Genomic DNA, 18530 nt, shown 5'->3' with positions numbered 1-18530 from the left:
AAAGTTAAAATAAATAAATAATAAAACAAAAAAAATAAGAAAATGGCAATGATTTTCTCATTCCCAGGAGGGGATTTTTCTTTTATTTTTATTTATACATATTTTTTGAAACAGGGTCTCGCTCCCTTTGTTGAGCAGGCTGGTCTCAAACCCAGAAAGAGATTTTTCTTTCCTTCCTTTTGCTTATATTATCTGGCTTTCATACAATACAAATCCATGTTTAGGTAATAATAAATGTAAGTGTACCATCTTAATAGTGAATATTGGCATACACCTAAGTTTAGTTTTATTCAAGTGAAGGCAGGGAGAAGCTATTCATCTCCACTCAAAGATGGGTTAGGTAGCCAAACTAGTGTTCACTGCCTGTTTGAAATTCTCTTTTGGGGAGCTTTCTCCCAGTTTAATCCTTTAATGATAATTATTAATCCATTTTACAAGTTTCTCCATTACACAAAATTTTCCAGTTGCACATTCCTTTATGCATTCTTCATGGACAAAGAAAGACTTCAAAATAGATCTTGAATGTGGCTTTAAAAATAATCCATTTATCTAATTTTTGCTTTTGTTGCCTGTGCTTTTGAGGTCTTAACTAAAAATCCTTGCCCAGCTCATTGTCATCAAATGTTTCCCAACGTTTTCTTCTAGTCGTTTCATAGTTTCTGGTTTTACATGTAAGTCTTTAATCCATTTTGAGTTAATTTTTGTGTATGGTAAAAGAGGTAGGGATCTAGTCTCATCCTTCTGCATGTGGATATCCAGCTTTTCTAGTACCATCTTTTGAAGAGACTATTCTTTCCCCAGTGTGTGTTCTTGTCACCATTATCAAAAATCAGTTTGGTCATAAGTGCATGGATTTATTTCTGGACTTTCTGTTGTGTTTCATTTGTCCATGTGTTTATTTTTATGCCAGTACCATGCTGTTTTGGTTACCACAGCTTTGTAGTATATTTTGAAGTCAGGTAGTGTGATGCCTCCAGCTTTGTTCTTTTTGCTTAAGATTGCTTTGGCTATTTGGGGGTCTTTCGTGGTTTCCCATGAATTTTTGGATCATTTTGTTCTATTTCTGTGAAAAAGATCATTGGTATTTTGATAGGGATTATATTAAATCTGTAGATTGCTTTGGGTGGTAAGACCATTTTAACAATATCAATTTTTCCCATCCATAAACATGAGCTATCTTTTCATTTATTTGTGTCATCTTCAATTTCTTTCAGTGTTTTATACTTTTGATGTAGAAATCTTTCACCTCTTCAGTTAAGTTTATTCCTATGTACATTTTATAACTATGCTAAATATAATTGTTTTCTTGATTTCTTTTTCAAATCATTTACTATCAGCATACAGAAATGCTACTGATTTTTGTATGTTTGTCAAACTAAGAAGCTTTTCCACAGCAACAGAAACAACAGAGTGAAGAGACAACCTATAGAATGGGAGAAAATATTTGCAAACTATACATCTCACAAGGGGCTAATGTCCACAATATATAAGGAACTTAAACAACAGCAAACAAAAACATAATCTGATTTTTAAATGGGCAAAAGACCTTAACAGACATTTCTCAAAAGAAAACATACAAATGACCAACAGGTATATGAAAAAATGCTCAGCATCACTAATCATCAGGGAAATGCAAATGAAAACCACAATGAAATGTGACCTCACTCTAATTAGAATGGCTATTTTCAAAAAGATGAAAGAAAACCACTCTTGGCAAGGATATGGAGAAAAGGGAACCCTTACACAGTGCTGGTGGGAATGTAAATTAGTAGAGTCATTATGGAAAACAGTATGGTGGCTCCTCAAAAAGTTAGAAATAGAACTACTGTATAATCCAGCAATCCCACTACTGGATATATATCCAAAGGAAATGAAATCAGTACATCAAAGAGATATCTGCACTCCCATGTTTACTGCAGCACTATCCATAACAGCCAAGACTTGGAATCAACCTAAATGTCCAAAAACAGATGAATGGATAAGGAAAATGTGATATATCTACACAATAGAATAGTATTCAGCCATTAAAAAGAGTGATATTCTGTCATTTGAGACAAAATGGACAAACCTGGAGGATATCATATTAATACATGAAATGAGCCAGACACAGAATGACAAATACCACATGATCTCACTGTTATGTGGAATCTAAGAAAAAGTGATCTCATAGAAGTAGAGAGAAGAACAGTGTTTATATCAGAAACTGGGGAGGGAATGGGGAAGGGCAGGATGAGGAGAGGTTGGTCAGTGTGTACAAAGTTAAAATTAGGCAACAGGGATAAGTTCTGGTGTTGTATTACACAGTAGGGTGACTATGGTCAATGGCAAAGTATTGTATATTACAAATTAGAAGAGAGATTTTTTAATGTTCTCACCACAAAGAAATGATATATGCATGGGGTGATAGATATGCTAGCTACCCTGCTTTGAACATTATACAATCTGTACATATATCAAAGCATCAAATTGTACATCACAAATATGTACAATTATAATGTATCAATTAAAGAATAAAAAGTTTTAAAAATAAAATAATCCAAATATTTTAAAATCTACATGCAGAAAAATCTACTTATAGTGGTAAAAAATTAGAAACAACTTAAATATCCCCACATAGAAGAAAGACCTAGCAAATTATGATATAGCCATTTGAAGAGACATTTTGAAGCCATACTAAAAACTATTGAATTGTGTATTTTAAATTGGTGAACTATATGGTATGTGAGTTATACCTCAATAAAGTTGTTATAAAAACATGCATAGTTTTGTGCACACTATGAGTACAGGAAAGCATATGCATAGAGAAAAATTCAAATTGTGTGATATGATTATATAATTATAATGACAAAAATTAAAAATGAATCTGATTCATGGACAGCAATCGACATAGGAATTTTCTACCTAATTTTGTGAGCATTCCATATTGTCTTCAGTAAAGATTCATTTATTAGTTTCAAGCCAGATTCAGAACACTTGGGGATGAGGACTGTGAATAGGAGGTGACTCTCCCTAAAAGCCAAATGTAGTATAATAGATTAGAAAGGTGACCGGCAAGCACACAGTAGGTTTGCACTAACTATTAGCTGAGCTTTATTTCTCACATTACATCCTGAGCCCTCTTCTCTCTTCTCCCTACAGTCTCCCTTGAAATCTCATTCTTTCCCATAACTTTGACTCCTTCTGTAGTAGTAAGTCCCAGATTTCTATTTCCAACACAGAGCTTTTTTTTCCCCGAATTTCAAACTCCTGTTGCTATCTGCTTCTTGTTAATAATAAATATAAAGTTTACAAATAAACCGTGTTAATCAGAAAACCAAGCACCACATATTCTCACTTATAAGTGGGAGCTGAACAATGAGGACACATGGACACAGGGAGGAGAACAATACACTGGGGCCTGTCGGGGCATGGGGCCGAGAGCATTAGGGAAAAGAGCTAATGCATGCTGGGCTTAATATCTAGGTGATGGGTTGATAGGTACAGCAAACCACCATGGCACATGTTTACCTATGTAACAAATCTGCACATCATGCACGTGTACCCTAGAGCTTTCAAAAATAATAATAAAATAATAAATAAATAAACTGTGCTCATTGCTGTTAAGCACTTTCCCTTAGAACCTGTACTTAAAAGAATCTCTTTGACTTTTATTTGGCTGAATACAAGCTTTTTATTTGAATACTCCAACCCAATACAATTGTCAAGCTAGTGGTGAGCTGGGGGAGGAAAGTGAAAAGTGGGAGAAGGAATTTAACAGTGTGCTGTGTAACTATCTCCTCTGAATTCCCACTTAAAATTGAAAGCATGTACATGTTCAAAGACAACTCCAGCCTCCAACCCCTTTTTCTCTTCTCCCACTGAACCACGGAATATGAACTCAGATTATCAAGAGATATATCAAACAAATTATCTCAGGGATACTGACAAAAGGCCATAAATGCCCCAGAACAGAAAGACACATATTGTGGTAATAATTTGCACTGTATTAATGCTCCAAATGCATTATCCCATTTAAACCTCCCATCAACTCCAAAGTGGGTGCTAATAATATCTGCATTTTCACATGGGATTCAGGCAAGAATACATTCAGTAAATTGCTCAAGATTACACAGTTAGGAAGTAGAGAAATAAGACTTTGAATGCAGTCAGACTCTAGAGCCTCACTCTGTAGATCAGGGTTCCTTTACCTCAGCACTAGTGACTTTTGGAGCCAGATAATTCTTTGCTATGGCTCTGTCCTGTGCATTGTAGGATGTTGAGCAGCATCCCTGGCCTCTACCCAGTAGATGTCAAAAACAACTCCCCAGCAGTAACAATCAAAAACATCTCCAACATTGACAAATGTCTCCTGGTGGGAAAAAATTGCCTCCAGTTGAGAAATACTGCTATAGATGGGGCAGGGGGAAACTTGCTTAGAGATTAAATACATTGCCAATCTATGACAACTGGTAAATAGCCCAATCTGCATTCAAACTGAGAATGACCTGACTCCATATGCCATTATGCTATATTGATCAACTTGGCAAAAATAAAACAAAATGAAACAAGAGCAAAAAAAAACAGATAGGAATAAAATAAAACAAATAAACTATTATTTTGGAATGATTTGCTTCCATTTAAAGAAAAAGAAACAGAAACAGTCCCTAAAGACTGTTTAAGAAAAAGACTGTTAATGATTGTTAAAGAAAGAGTCCCTGAAATACTTAAACTTAACTAAGAGTAAGCAGAGATGTTCTATAAAGTAGTATTTCTCAAAGTTGGCTACATATTAGAACTATCTAGTGAGCTTTAAAAGTACGGATATCTGGGCCTCATCCCCAAGAGATTCTAGTTTAATTGGTCTGGAATGTGACCTGGGTTTGGGATTTTTAAAAGCTGTTCAAGTGTTTCCAATATGAATTCAAAGCTAAGAACCACTGCTGTAAAGGATTCAACTAGTATTTTATTTCTATGGGTCTTATCAATCATGCATATTAAATTGATTACATACATTTAGTTTAATAGAAAACCAATGGATACCTAATAAATTGAGAGCGTACATTACCCTTAACATTCACTGAGCTACTGATCACCAAATTTGTAGATGTTTATAGGATCATATAGCCAGAAGAGAAAGTATTCTCTAGTTCCTAACCTTTGGACCATCTTGTCCCCCATCATCATTTCCAACAAAAAATTAGCCAAAATTTGAAAGGGTACTGTTATTTCATGATTATTCACAGTGCTTTCAAAGTGTGATGGAAGAATATTTTTTCAGTTATTGGGTAAAATGTGATTTTGGAATGGTTTCAAGACTCTAAACACTTTATTTTGGCTTATTCCAATATGTGTGATTAAGTAATTTTTCTAAACATTAACCTTGTCACTACTACCATGAATAATTCAGAATTCAATAGATACATTCATTTCTAATATGTAATATGTTCAGATAACAATAAGACACCTTAGGTTTTCATTACTGTAGCCGTCAAACTACGGAAGTGATAACATTTGCTTAAATGGCTTTCTATAACAATGACCAGCAAATCTAGCCTAATGTAGACAACACTGTTATTCACTCCAAATATACTCCCTTTCCTTCCATAGACAGTCTATGCCTGCACATGGCAAGCAATAAAACAGTATGAACATTCAGATAATTTATCCAGTGTTGATGATCATTTCTAATTACACTGTACAATAATTTGTCCAGTGATTAGCATTGATTATTACAAAATGGTCACTTCTCAAACATTAATCTAAGCTGACAGGCTCAGAACACAATACCCCAAAATACAGTAGCTTGGCAATTGAGAAAATGGCAGAAGCAGGAAGGTCTCTCTCATCTTCTCCCACCATTCTCCCCTGAAACAGGCCATAGAATCTAGGAAGGTCAGTCTCTGACCCTCTCCTTCCTTTCTCCCCTGAAGACCCTCATATGACAGGTGTCCTGCCCTATACCTAGAGGAAAGAAATGTTACACAGAGAGGCCAAAAAGAATCTGAACAAACAGGCCTTGCTAAGTTCCCCCAAATTTACTACCACTATGTCATATTATTTTGTCCTCCAATCACACTTCTGCATGACTGTCCACAAAAATATGGTTTTCCCTTAGTCTCTGGGTTTTCATTTCTGAAGCTTCCTGTGTTATGTAAAATTTATATTGAGTAAACTTGCTATGCTTTTCTCTTTTTAATCTGTCATTTGTTATTGGGGTTTCAGCCATGAAGGAACCCAAAATATTTCTGTCTAAAACACTGAGGACTATTGACCTGAAGAAGGTTAAAACACCAGAGGACACTCTGCCCCTCCCTCTGCCTGCCTGATGACAGGAGAGCAATTTACAAAGACAAAGGTCTTCCTGTCCTCCTCCCTGACTTTTCCTGCCTACACTTGCTCATCAGCTGAGAGATAACAGTGCCAGAGGACCTAGGAACAAACTTGACTCTTCCCATAAGTTTACCTTCCCACATTTGCCCACCTTTTGGAAGCCTGAAAATGCTCTCTTCTTTGTCTTGTCACTATAGGATTTAAGGCTGTTTGTTGAAATACTATTTAAGCAAGTCCCCTAAGCCACTGCCTTAAGAGAGAAATACTTTTGAACAGAGGCCTCTCCCAAGTGATGGGTACAGCACGTGTCAATAAACTTCTGCTGGTTTTTCTCTTGTTAACGTGACTTTCGTTTTCAGGAGTGTCTCAACTAAGAGAGGGGTAAAAATAAGAAATTATATTTTCTCCCCTATAGTCATGAACCTTATAATGAGTGAGGAAAGACACTCCTTCTCCCCTACAAAGTGTAGATGACTTTTTATACATTGATCCTTGGAATCTGTAAGGTTCTTGAGAATTAAGCAATAGAAACCAAAAATTATGTCCCATTACAAGTTATCTTCCAACCACCATTCTGAAGATTAGGAGGTGGGTTTGCTTATTCGTTTTGTGGTTACTGCAAATTTTGTTGGGTATTTTTTTTGTTTTTTGGAAGAAAGAGAAGGCTTGGAAGTGTAATAAATTTTCCCAAGCCCTGGAAGTGCATAAATACTTTCAAGAGCAGGGTGAAGCTCAACAAATTATAGTATAAACTCTCTTCAATAAAATACCCACACATCCACTGTGGCTAAGGTTGAACTGGAGTCTTATTTTAGACAGCAGAACTAAAAGAAAATAGCACTCACCCTGGGTAGCAGAAATGCCTGAATTTATATAACACCTATATTCACAGAGTTAATGTACAATTTAGTGAAATTAAATTAATTAATTTTTAATTGCACAGAGGGTCCACTCTACTCCTATTTTTAATTCTTTTGTAGGAAGGAAAAAAAAAGGCTCCAGTGAGTTGTAATTGTGCCACTGCCCTCCAGCCTGGGCAAAAGAGTAAGAGCTTATCTCTAAATAAATAAATAGGCCAGGCAGGCATGGTGGCTCATGACTGTAATCCCAACACTTTTAGAGGCCAAGGTGGGCAGATTGCTTGAGCCCAGAAGTTCGATACCAGCCTGGGAAACATGGCAAAAACTCATCTCTACCAAAAATGCAAAAATTAGCTGGGCGTAGTGGTGTATGCCTGTGGTCCCAGCTACTTGGGAGGCTGAGGTGGGAGGATCACTTGACCCTAGGAGTTCGAGGCTGCAGTGAGCCGTAATCATGCCACTACACTCCAGCCTGGGTGACACAGCAAGACTCTATCTCAAAAAAATTTTTTTAATTAAAAATGAGTGAGGGTAGGGAGCATAAATACATCCTTCTTTTGAGTCTCCACAGCACCTAGCAACCTGCTTTACACATTCAAAATATGTCTTATATATTTGAAATATGGGCTATTTATTGATTGGCTGAAGGAAAAGATCCTTGAATTCCATAAATTATGATTCTCTAATTTATCTTTTATCATTTCTTCTTTTCCTCATTCCATTGCTTCTTTCTCAACTGGAGGTAAATTTGTCCCAGGATGAAGTCTATGAATGGAATGGATGAAGTGTCATGGAAACAGAATGGAGCAAATCCAAGTGTGGGTTTTTTTTTTATAACTATTGATTTCTTGACTCTGCTTTCAGTTTCCATTGATTTGTTGGTGTTAACTGGATTTATGACTACTATGCTTTGTTTCTGTGAGTCAGTATTCTATTTTCCCTGAAGCAACATGTCTGTTGTACACAGGCCATCTCCCTGAGACCTCAACGCATCCAGAAAACAGCCAAGAGCTGAGAAGTAAGCAAAATATCTCTGAACAACCAAAACAGGTATCACCATGTCTCCACTGTCCAAACACTTACATAAGATGGAACACCTTTTGGAGCTCTCTGCACATAATTCTAGTCAATTCGTTTGTGTGATTTTCCTAACAAGGCATGTTAGAAGCAGCAAATTTGTTGGCAGGTTAGGAAGGATAGGTTGCCAAAGGCTGGAACACTGACAATCATTAAAATGACACCTGATAGACTAAAAGTGAGAAAAAGAACAAACAACAAAAAAAGAAAACATGTAAAAATAAGAACCAAGGAATCAAAACTCAAAAGAGATTTGATCATGCCATGTAGAGGCAAATAACCCTATATTTGTATTGCTCATTGCATTCTAGTGTGGGAGAGAAATTGACATTCATCATGGTAAGCCTGAGATATAAAGACAAGAATAAAATGTGCTCAGGAAACTGTTGGAGAAGACAGGAAAGTACACAATAGATTTTAGAAAGATTTCTAGTCAAAATGGTTTTGTTGTTGTTGTTTTTGTGTTTAGAGGAGTAAACATCAGTTAATGGGGAAAAGAAGATTCATAAGTCATTTAAATAGGCCACTTCTTTCCTAACAGACTGGACAAATTGGGCATTACTGTATTTCAAACAAAGCACGAAAAATCTCTTTAGAAGTGTCTCATTCTACAAATATACTATAACCGCAATAATGTGATTTAGGAGGGAAAGAGAGAGACACACACACAAAGACTGCTACTAACTCCTGGACAGGTTAGAAGTTATTACCATTCCATCTTTCTTGCCATTGTTCCCCAACCACATATATTCTCAACTTTTACATAGCTATTAGCATAATATATGATTTATTTTGCTTTGACTTGACTTATCATTCATCACATACTTTCCATGTGCCTATATAATATTCATAATTTTCATTTTGATGGCTGCCTAATAGTCCATGTTCCTAAATTGCTTTCAATTTTACCAATTATCAATAAACAATACTGCAATAAACACCTTCACATATACAGCTATTCTGTCCTTGTGTAGTTTTGGATTACTATCAAACAATAAATTCACCAAAGTGAAATTAGAAATATATCTAAATTAAGAAATGTATTTGAACAGTGACTTGCTTTACGAGGTTGTGGTGAAAATGAGGTTGTAATACCAGTCAAAGCCCTCCTCCCCAGATTAGCAGAAATTTAACTCCTCACTTGACTCTCCCCCACTTCCCTGAATTGCCCAAGAACCCAGAGATTCATTCAGTCAAACTCTTAGCAGAGGGAAAACTAGAGAATCTGACCACCGTCCAGTGGACACTTCTTGACGCCTGCTGTTGCTTCAGTTACTCAGTTACTCCTGTCCTATGGCACATGCATCTAATGAGTGGATATCATGGCTCTTAAACCATGAACTCACAACACCCATGTGTGAAGAGGGCCCCGTGGGCATCATTGTTCCTCTACTAACAGATGAAGATAGGCAGGCTCTGAGAAGTAGTGACACAACCAGGAAGGGACAAAGACAGACCTTCCATCCCTCGGACAGGGATTCATCCATTTCACCGTGCAAGCTCATCATGTACAAGATCCATGCCAAGAAAAATCTGACAGTATACAGGGACAGGACCTGATTTTTTTTCTTAATGTAGAAGGGTGATTCTGCACAGTATATGTAGTTGTGCTTCTATGTCAATGACCCATAAAATATCTTGTGAGGACAGAAAACATAACATACGTAAAATTATGCTCTAAAAAAGCCTTACACATTGTTGGCCTCAAATTATTTTAGCCAGTTGAAATGAAAATTATTTAGAGATTAATTTTAACCTAATTCGGATTTTGTTGAAGATGTAGTAACTTTAAAAACAATGTGAAAGAATAGAGCTGGAAACGCAGTAGTGAAATATCATCTAAAAACAATACACTATTGAATTTTAGATGTATAGAGTCATTTACATGTGACTGACATGTGTCACTACAGCCTATGACTGAGAGATTAATGCACTTCCTTTTAAAAGCATTTCTCCAATACTTTGTACAATTGTGCCCTCTGCCGGATGCACATGGGTATTATTTTACAGGGCTATACATAGGAAACAATGCTTTATAATCACATCTTTTTAAAGTAAAACTTTTCAATACTTGAATTCTGTGTATATTTCAGCAATTAGTTGGTTCTATCCCACACAAACTTCCTAATCCTCTTTTTAAATTACTGATAATCTCATTTACAGAAATCAAAACATTGTTAAAGATTAGCTCAGTACTGTTTAGTGCTGTCAGCTGAGTAAATTGTTACTTCTCAAAAAAGAACTCATAACTAAATATAAATATGGATAAATCTCTTGAAAGTTTCTCATATCTCAATAAAATGCATAATGAAACCATTTATTATCATATTTAAGTTTACAAATATCCACCCAATTATTGTCTCATTTCGTTTCATTATTTAAAAATATTTATTCCCATGTAGCATACTGGATTTCAATGATACACAACAAAATAATATGTGGTCTCAATTCTCAAGAATTTTATTATTAAATGGAAAATGGTGAGAAGTAAATGAACAACTGCAGAGTAGCACATGCCATGAACACTGGGATGTTCCAGATTCCCCTTCAATGAGGAACTTGCGGCTCCAGTCACAGAGAGCCTCCTTACGCAATGTCACACCCCTTTTCAGGAGCCCACATCCAATGACTGATCCATGCTGGAGAAAAAAGTGCCCACCATATCAGCCCAACTTTCTACAACTCAGAAGGGCCATTCTGGCTCCCTAAATCCCCTGGGGTTTACCACAGTTGTTAGGCACACATTCAAGCTCAGCCCTTCTCTCTACCCCAGTGGTTTTCAACTGAGGGCAATTTGCTATCCCCTCCTTCCCCACCACCAGCATATTTTGCAATGTCTGAAAACACTTTTGGTCATCACAACTGAAGGGGAGGGAGGTGTGTATGTGTGCTACTGGCATCTAGTGGGTAGAGCCCAGGGATACTGCTATGCATCCCATAGTGCACAGGACAGCCCCACAACAAAGTGTTACACCTAGTCTGAAATGTCTCTATGCCACAGTTGAAAAACCCTGTTCTATCCAATCTCGTGCTTTCCTTTCCCTTTCATAGGTGTTGGTCTGAGGTCATTCTTTTTTTTGGGGGGGGGTGTTTTGGTTTTGTTTTTCAACTTTTGTTTTAGATTTGGGGGTACACACGCAGGTTTGTTACAAATGTGTATTGCATGATGCTGAGGTTTGCAGTACAATTGAAACCATCACCCAGGAAGTGAGCATAGTACCTAACAGGTAGTATTTCAATCCTTTCTTCCCTCCATGTCTCCCTCCTCTTGTATTCCCTGGTGTCTATTGTTCCCATCTTTATGTCCATGTGTGTCCAATGTTTAGCTCTCACTTATAAGTGAGAACATGTGATATTTGGTTTTCCATTCCTGCATTAGTTCACTTAGGATAATCACCTCCATCTGCATCCATGTTTCTGCAAAGGACATAATTTCATTATTTGTTATGGCTGTGTAGTATTCCATGGCGCATATGTACCACATTTTCTTTATCCAATCCACCATTGATGGGCACTTGGGCTAATTCCATTTCTTTGCTATTGTGAATAGCACTGCAATGAACATACAGGTGCATGTGTCTTTTTGGTAGAATTTCTTTTCCTTTGAGTATATACCCAGTAATGGGATTGCTGGGTCGAACAGTAGTTCAACTCTCACTTCTTTGAGAAATCTCCAAACTGCTTTCCACGGTGGATGACCTAATTTACAGTCCCACAAGTAGTGTATAAGCATTCACTATTTTTTTTTTTTTTTTTTTTTTTTTTTTGGCGGCGGGGAGACGGATTCTCGCTCTGTCTCCCAGGCTGGAGTGCAGTGGCGCGATCTCGGCTCACTGCAACCTCTGCCTCCCGGGTTCAAGCGATTCTCCTGCTTCAGCCTCCTGAGTAGCTGGAACTACAGGCACGCACCACCACGCCCGGCTAATTTTTGCATTTTTAGTAGAGACGGGGTTTCACCATGTTGGCCAGGCTGGTCTCCAACTCCCAACCTCAGGTGATACGGCCGCCTCAGCCTCCCAAAGCACTTTCGCAGGCCCACCAGCATCTGTTTTTTGCCAAGGTCATTCTTTACCGAACATCCTGCACCCTAAACTCCATCAAAGAGTTGGCTTTCTGGGAAACAGTTACGATAGTATCCATAAGAAACCATTTGGTCTTATACGTGTGTATAAGAGAGACAAAGTAGTATGTATGTATATAAATTTATTAGTATGAACAAAACTAGGAGGACATACGCTAAATATAAAGAGTGGTTATTTCATTTTTTAAATGTTTTGTTTTTAATTATTGTGGGAATATAATAGGTGTATGTATTTATGGGATACATGAAATGTTTTGATATAGGCATGCAATGTAATTATCACATAATGAAAGATAGGGTATCCATCCTCTCAAGCATTTATCTTTTGTGTTACAATCCAATTATCCTCTTTTAATTTAAAATGCACAATTAAATTATTATGAATTATAGTCACCCTGTTGTGCTATCAAATACTAGGCCTTATTCATTCACTTTATTTTTTGTGCCCATTAACCACCCCCATCTCCCCATCACCCCCCACTATGCTTCCTAGCCTCTTGTAATCATCCTTCTACTTTCTATCTCCATGGGTTCAATTATTTTGATGTTTAGATCCCACAAATAAGTAAGAATATGCAATGTTTGTCTTTCTTTTCCTGGCTTATTTCACTTAACATAATGACTTCCAGTTCTATCTATGTTGTTGCAATCTCATTTTTTTTTTATGGCCGAAGAGTACTCGGTTGTGTATATGTACCACATTTTCTTTATCCATTCATCTGTTGATGGACACTTAGGTTGCTTCCAAATCTTGCCTATTGTGAACAGAGCTGCAACAAACATGGGAGTGCAGATATCTCTTCGATATGTTGATATCCTTTCTTTTGGATATATGCCCAGCAGTGGGATTGCTAGATCATATGGTAGCTCTATTTTTAGTTTTTGAAGAACCTCCAAACTGTTCTCCATAGTGGTTATACTAATTTACATTCCCAACAACAGTGTATGAGGGTTCCCTTTTCTCCACATCCTTGCCAGCATTTGTTACCGCCTGTCTTTTGGATATCAGCCATTTTAACTGGGGTGAGATGATATCTCATTATAGTTTTGATTTGCATTTCTCTCATGATCAATGATGTTGAGCACCTTTTCATATGCCTGTTTGCCATTTGTATGTTTTCTTTTGAGAAATGTCTATTCAAATGTTTTGCCCATTTAAAAAATCAGATTATTAGAGTTTTTTTTCTGTAGAGTTGTTTGAGCTCCTTATATATTCTGCTGATTAATCCCTTGTCAGAGGGGAAAATATTTGTTTGCAAATATTTCCTCCCATTCTGTGGACTGTTTCTTCACGTTGTTGATTGTTTCCTTTGCTGTGCAGAAGCTTTTTAATTTGATATGATCCCACTTGTCCATTTTTGCTTTGGTTGCTTGTGTTTGTGGGGTATTACTCAAGAAATATTTGCCCAGAATGTGGTCCTGGAGAGTTTCCCAAATGTTTTCTTGTAGTAGCTTCATAGTGTGAGGTCTTAGACTTAATTATTTAATTCATTTTTATTTGATTTTTGTATATGGTGAGAGAGACAGGAGTCTAGTTTCATTCTTATGCATATGGACATCCAGTTTCCCCAGCACCATTTATTGAAAAGATTATCTTTTCCCCAGTGTATGTTCTTCCCCCCTTTGTCGAAAATGAGTTCACTGTAGGTATGCAGATTTTTTTCTGGGTTCTCTGTTCATTGGTCTATGTGTCTGTTTTTATGCCAATACCAAGCTGTTTTGGTTACTATAGCTCTGTAGTATAATTTGAAGTCAGGTAATGTGATTCCTCTAGTTTTTTTTTTCTTCTTCTTATGATAGCTTTGGATATTCTGGGTGTTTCGTGGTTCCATATAGATTTTATGATTTGTTTTCTCTATTTCTGTGAAGAATGTCATTGGTATTTTGAAAGGGATTGCATTGAATCTGTAGATCATTTTGGGTAGTATGAACATCTTAATGATATTGATTCTTCCAATTCATGAACATGGGTTTCCATTTTTTGGTGTCCTCTTCAATTTCTTTCATCAGTGTTTTATAGTTTTCATTAAAGAGACATTTCACTTTTTTGGTTAATTCCTATATATTTAATTTTATTTGTGGCTATTGTAAATTAGACCACTTTATTTCTTTTTCAGTTTGTTCACCGTTAGCATAAGAAATGCTACTGATTTTCGTATATTGATTTTGTATCCTGCTACTTTACTGAATTTATCAGTTCTAATGTTTTGGTAGAGTCTTTTGAGGTTTTTTGGGATGAAAGGATGGTGAATTTTATCAAATGTTTCTTCAGCATCAATCTAAATAATCATACGGTTTTTGTCCTTCATTCTGTTGATATGATGTATCACATTGATTGATTTGCCTATGTTGCATCCCAGGGATAAATCCCACTTGAGCATGATGAATGATCTTTCTAGTGTTTGATGAATTCAGTTTGCTAATATTTTGTTGAGGATTTTTGCATCAATATTCATCAGGGATATTGGCCTGTAGCTTTTGTATTCTTTTTGTGTTGTTGTTAGATGTGTCTTTGTCTGGTTTTGGTATCAGGGTAATATTGGCCTTATAGAATGAGTTTGGAAGTACTGCCTCTTCCTCTATTTTCATTTGTTTCAAGACATTTTTCAATTTCCTTCTTAATTTCTTCATTGACTCACTGGTCATTCAGGAGCATATTGTTTAATTTCCATGTATTTGAATAGTTTCCAAAATTCTTCATCGATTTCTAGTTTTATTCCATTATGGTCAGAGAAGATGCTTTATATCATTGTAATTTTTTTGAATGCTTTAAGACTTGTTTTATGACCTAACATATGGTCTATCCTTGAGAATAATCCATGTGTTGAGGGAAAAAAATGTGTCTTCTGCAGCTATTGGATAAAATATTCTCTAAATATCTATTAAATATTTGGTCTATAGTGCAGATTAAGTTTGATATTTCCTTGTTGATTTTCTGTCTGGAAGATCTGTCAAATGCTGAAAAGTGGGGTGTTGAAATCTCCAGCTATTATTGTAATGGAGCCTATCTCTTTCTTTAGCTCCAATAATATTTGCTTTATATATCTGAATGCTCCAGTATTGAGTGCATATATATATATAATTGTTATATCCTAAAGAGTGGTTATTTTAAAGTAATGGCATTGCAAGCCATTCTTGTTGTTTTCCTTTGTACTTAAGTGCCTCAGTTGTCCAAGATTTGTGTTTTTATTATTGTATTTTTCTTTTTTGCATTAAGCACATGTTACCTTTGCAGTCTGGGGAGAGAAAATCTTGTAATTTTAAAGAAAAAGGGCATGGACAATAGTATTAAATACTGCAGAGAGGCCAAAATATAGTAGATGGAAAGTCAGCCATGATGCCAGTGAGACAGTTGTACCGGAATGGACATGCCTGAAGAGAAACAGCTGTGGGATGAGTGGAAAGTAGGTGAGGAAATAAAGGTATCTCACTTTTTACAGAAGTATAACCAAAAAGAGAGGTGGAAAAATAGAAAGGTGAGGAGAGGAGAGTGAAAAATCAGCCCAAATGATTTTAAAGATCAGAGAACCTGAGTAAGTTTGATGCTGATGGGGAAGAAGCCAGGAAAGAGAGAGGCAATGATACGAGAGGTGTACAATTGAGGGTGTGAGGTGCCTGTGAGGACATGGAATTGGATCCAGAGAACAACCCTTGACTGGGTTGGCCTAAGCACAAGCAAAGGCATTCATCATGCCTCTTTAAACCAAGAGGCATGGTGAGTGCAGATGGCAATATATTTCAAGGTGATGAAATCCATGCCTGGTCATCTCAATTGTGTCAATAGGAAGTGGTCATCTGCTGAAACGAAGGGTCTGGGGCTGGTGAGGCAGGGGCTTGAGAAGGTGAAATCAAAGAGAAATTATAGCAGAGGACCTGAGCCGGACCTGAAGCGAGGGCCTGCTAGGGGGTGCTCCTGGGAAACTGCTCTTTCCTTTACCCAACTTCAAAGTAAGAATTCAGGACTACTGTTTGCAGGTGGTTTAGCACCATTTACTTGATCCAGGTAAGGGGACTGGTTCCCAAGCTGTTTCTTCACAACACTTAGGTGGCAGATGGGTCCCAGCTGGGGGACAGGGGAGGATCCAAAAAGCCCCATGAGATTAGCTATGGCTTCCCACAGCTGGCAGGATTTCCACACCTGGCACCTGAACTTTGGGGCCCCAGTAACAGAGTTTGAGATTCGTCGGTGCTACTTCCTGTGTTAGGTAATAACCTCTATATATTTCCTTACCATAGGGCCTTTAAAGAAACTACATCCTGTAGCCACGCCTTTTGGCTTCTCTCCCTCAATCTCATCTCCTATGGTTGAGATAAACAGGAGCGAAATTCTCCAAAGTGTAAACCAGAGGACACGTCCTGCTGCATCTGGTGCCGTTTTCTCCCAGCACTGCCTCCCCATCCTTTCCAGACACACCAGGATACACTGATAGGGGACTACTATGCCTTAACAGGCACTGGGATTTTAGATGCCTTGTTTCAAGGAGTGGTTCTCAACCAGGAGCCATTCCCCACACCCTCACCCTAGGGACATTTGGCAATGGCTGGAAACATTTTTGATTGTCACAAATGGGGGCAGGGAGGGACATCCAGTGGGCAGAGGCCAAGAATGCTTCTAAATATCCTACAATGCACAGAATAGTCCCCACAATGAATTATGCAGCCCCAAATGCCAATAGTGCAGAAAGTGAGAGGTCATGCTTTAGAGTTCCTCATCTGACAGGATTCTTTAAAGTTTTGCTATAATCCATTTAAAATTTGAAGCATATGCCTGAGAAAAATTAAATACTGAGGAATTGCCATTTGTAAATTTCCACCAGGTGGCGCCAAATGACAAGTGAAAATCCAACCTCCTCTAGCCTCCATTTCAAAATTCAGTTTCTCTCCCTGGTTAACCCCCTGGAGTAACAATCCCCATTCTTTTCAAATAGGATTGTCGCTCCTTAGGTGCTTAGTGTTCCCCACCACCAGTATTTTTATGCAAGTGAGTTAAAGTGAGTAATGACTAAAACTCAGACTTAAAGATGAAAAGAACAGGACTACATCCTCAATCAGCTACAGAATTTCCATTCCCTGCAGCAACAAGGGTATGGGAGAATCAGCTAGTTTCTTTTCTTCTTTAGTCAACTTTTAGCTGGGCACTTGGCCATCTGAAAAAGACAATTCCAAGCTCCTGCACCCTTAGGAGGGCTAAGTAATGAAGTTCAGGCCATTAGTAGGAAGTGATCAGAAGTGCTGTGGGCCGCCTCTGGGTAGTACTCTTAAAGCAGTGGTTCTCAACTGGGGGTGACTTTGCCCCCTCCTCCCCCAGCCCAGGAGACATTTGGCAATGTCTGAGGACATTTTTGGCTGTCACAACTGGGAGACAGTACTGGCATCTTGTGAGTAGAGACCAGAGATGCTACTAAAACTCCTACAATGCACAGGACAACCCCCAAAACACAGAATTATCCAACCCCAAATGTGAATAGTGCCAAGGTGGAGAAATCCTTAGAGGGAAAGGGCATGCCCTTGGCTTTCTCTTTCCCACTGGCTGAAAGGTGCAGTGGTGCACCATCTTGGACCATGTGGGCCAAGGCAAGAAACCAGGGAGGGTGGAGCTATGAGACAGGTGGAGCTGCCATACTCTGGACTCCTTACACCCAGACTGCCATGAGATAGAAATACACTTCTCAACAGTTTGAGCCACTCCTCTTCTGGGTCTCTGTGACAGCAGCCAACTAATATTCTATCTAATGCCATAGTATACCATATATATTGTATTTTTTCATTCATAGAACCAGGAATCACTCTACCTGAACTATATCCACTCTAGGCCTGCATCCTTCTGCCTTTCCCAGGAACCCCCTAAGCTCTTTCTCCCTATCTTACCCCTCTCCATCTTTCTTTCCTGCCTCTCTAGATGCTGGCTTCTTCCTTGAGGTAGAGATTGCACCAGGCCCCATCTGACTTATCTGTCTCAATCCACACCTGACTTTTCCCATAAGACTTCACCCTCCTACCATCTCCTGCTTCTATCCATAGATATCTCATTTCCTCCCACATCCATTTTCTGAGGTGGAGGAATAATCTTTTCTAAAATAATCCCCCTCTATATACACATACTTTCTGGCCCTTACCCTGCTATACTGTCTTCATATAACTCACCACAACATACAATTCTATTTATCTGCTTATTGTCTATGTTCTACACAAAAGATTTAATT

General features: G+C 37.8%; 1 annotated feature.

The window, feature by feature from the left end:
* Positions 16661-16843: a silencer, noted in NCBI's record as "fragment chrX:14051018-14051200 (GRCh37/hg19 assembly coordinates)". NCBI's record gives its function as "represses an EF-1alpha promoter that drives an FKBP-Casp9 reporter gene in an ReSE screen in K562 erythroleukemia cells {active_cell/tissue: K562}" and the evidence as "EXISTENCE:reporter gene assay evidence [ECO:0000049][PMID:32094911]".

This window comes from Homo sapiens, chromosome X (assembly GCF_000001405.40).
Source record: "Homo sapiens chromosome X, GRCh38.p14 Primary Assembly".
Taxonomy (NCBI): domain Eukaryota; kingdom Metazoa; phylum Chordata; class Mammalia; order Primates; family Hominidae; genus Homo; species Homo sapiens.
The sequence above is the reverse complement of the archived record's forward strand: the minus strand, read 5'-3'. Positions and strand labels throughout refer to the sequence as shown.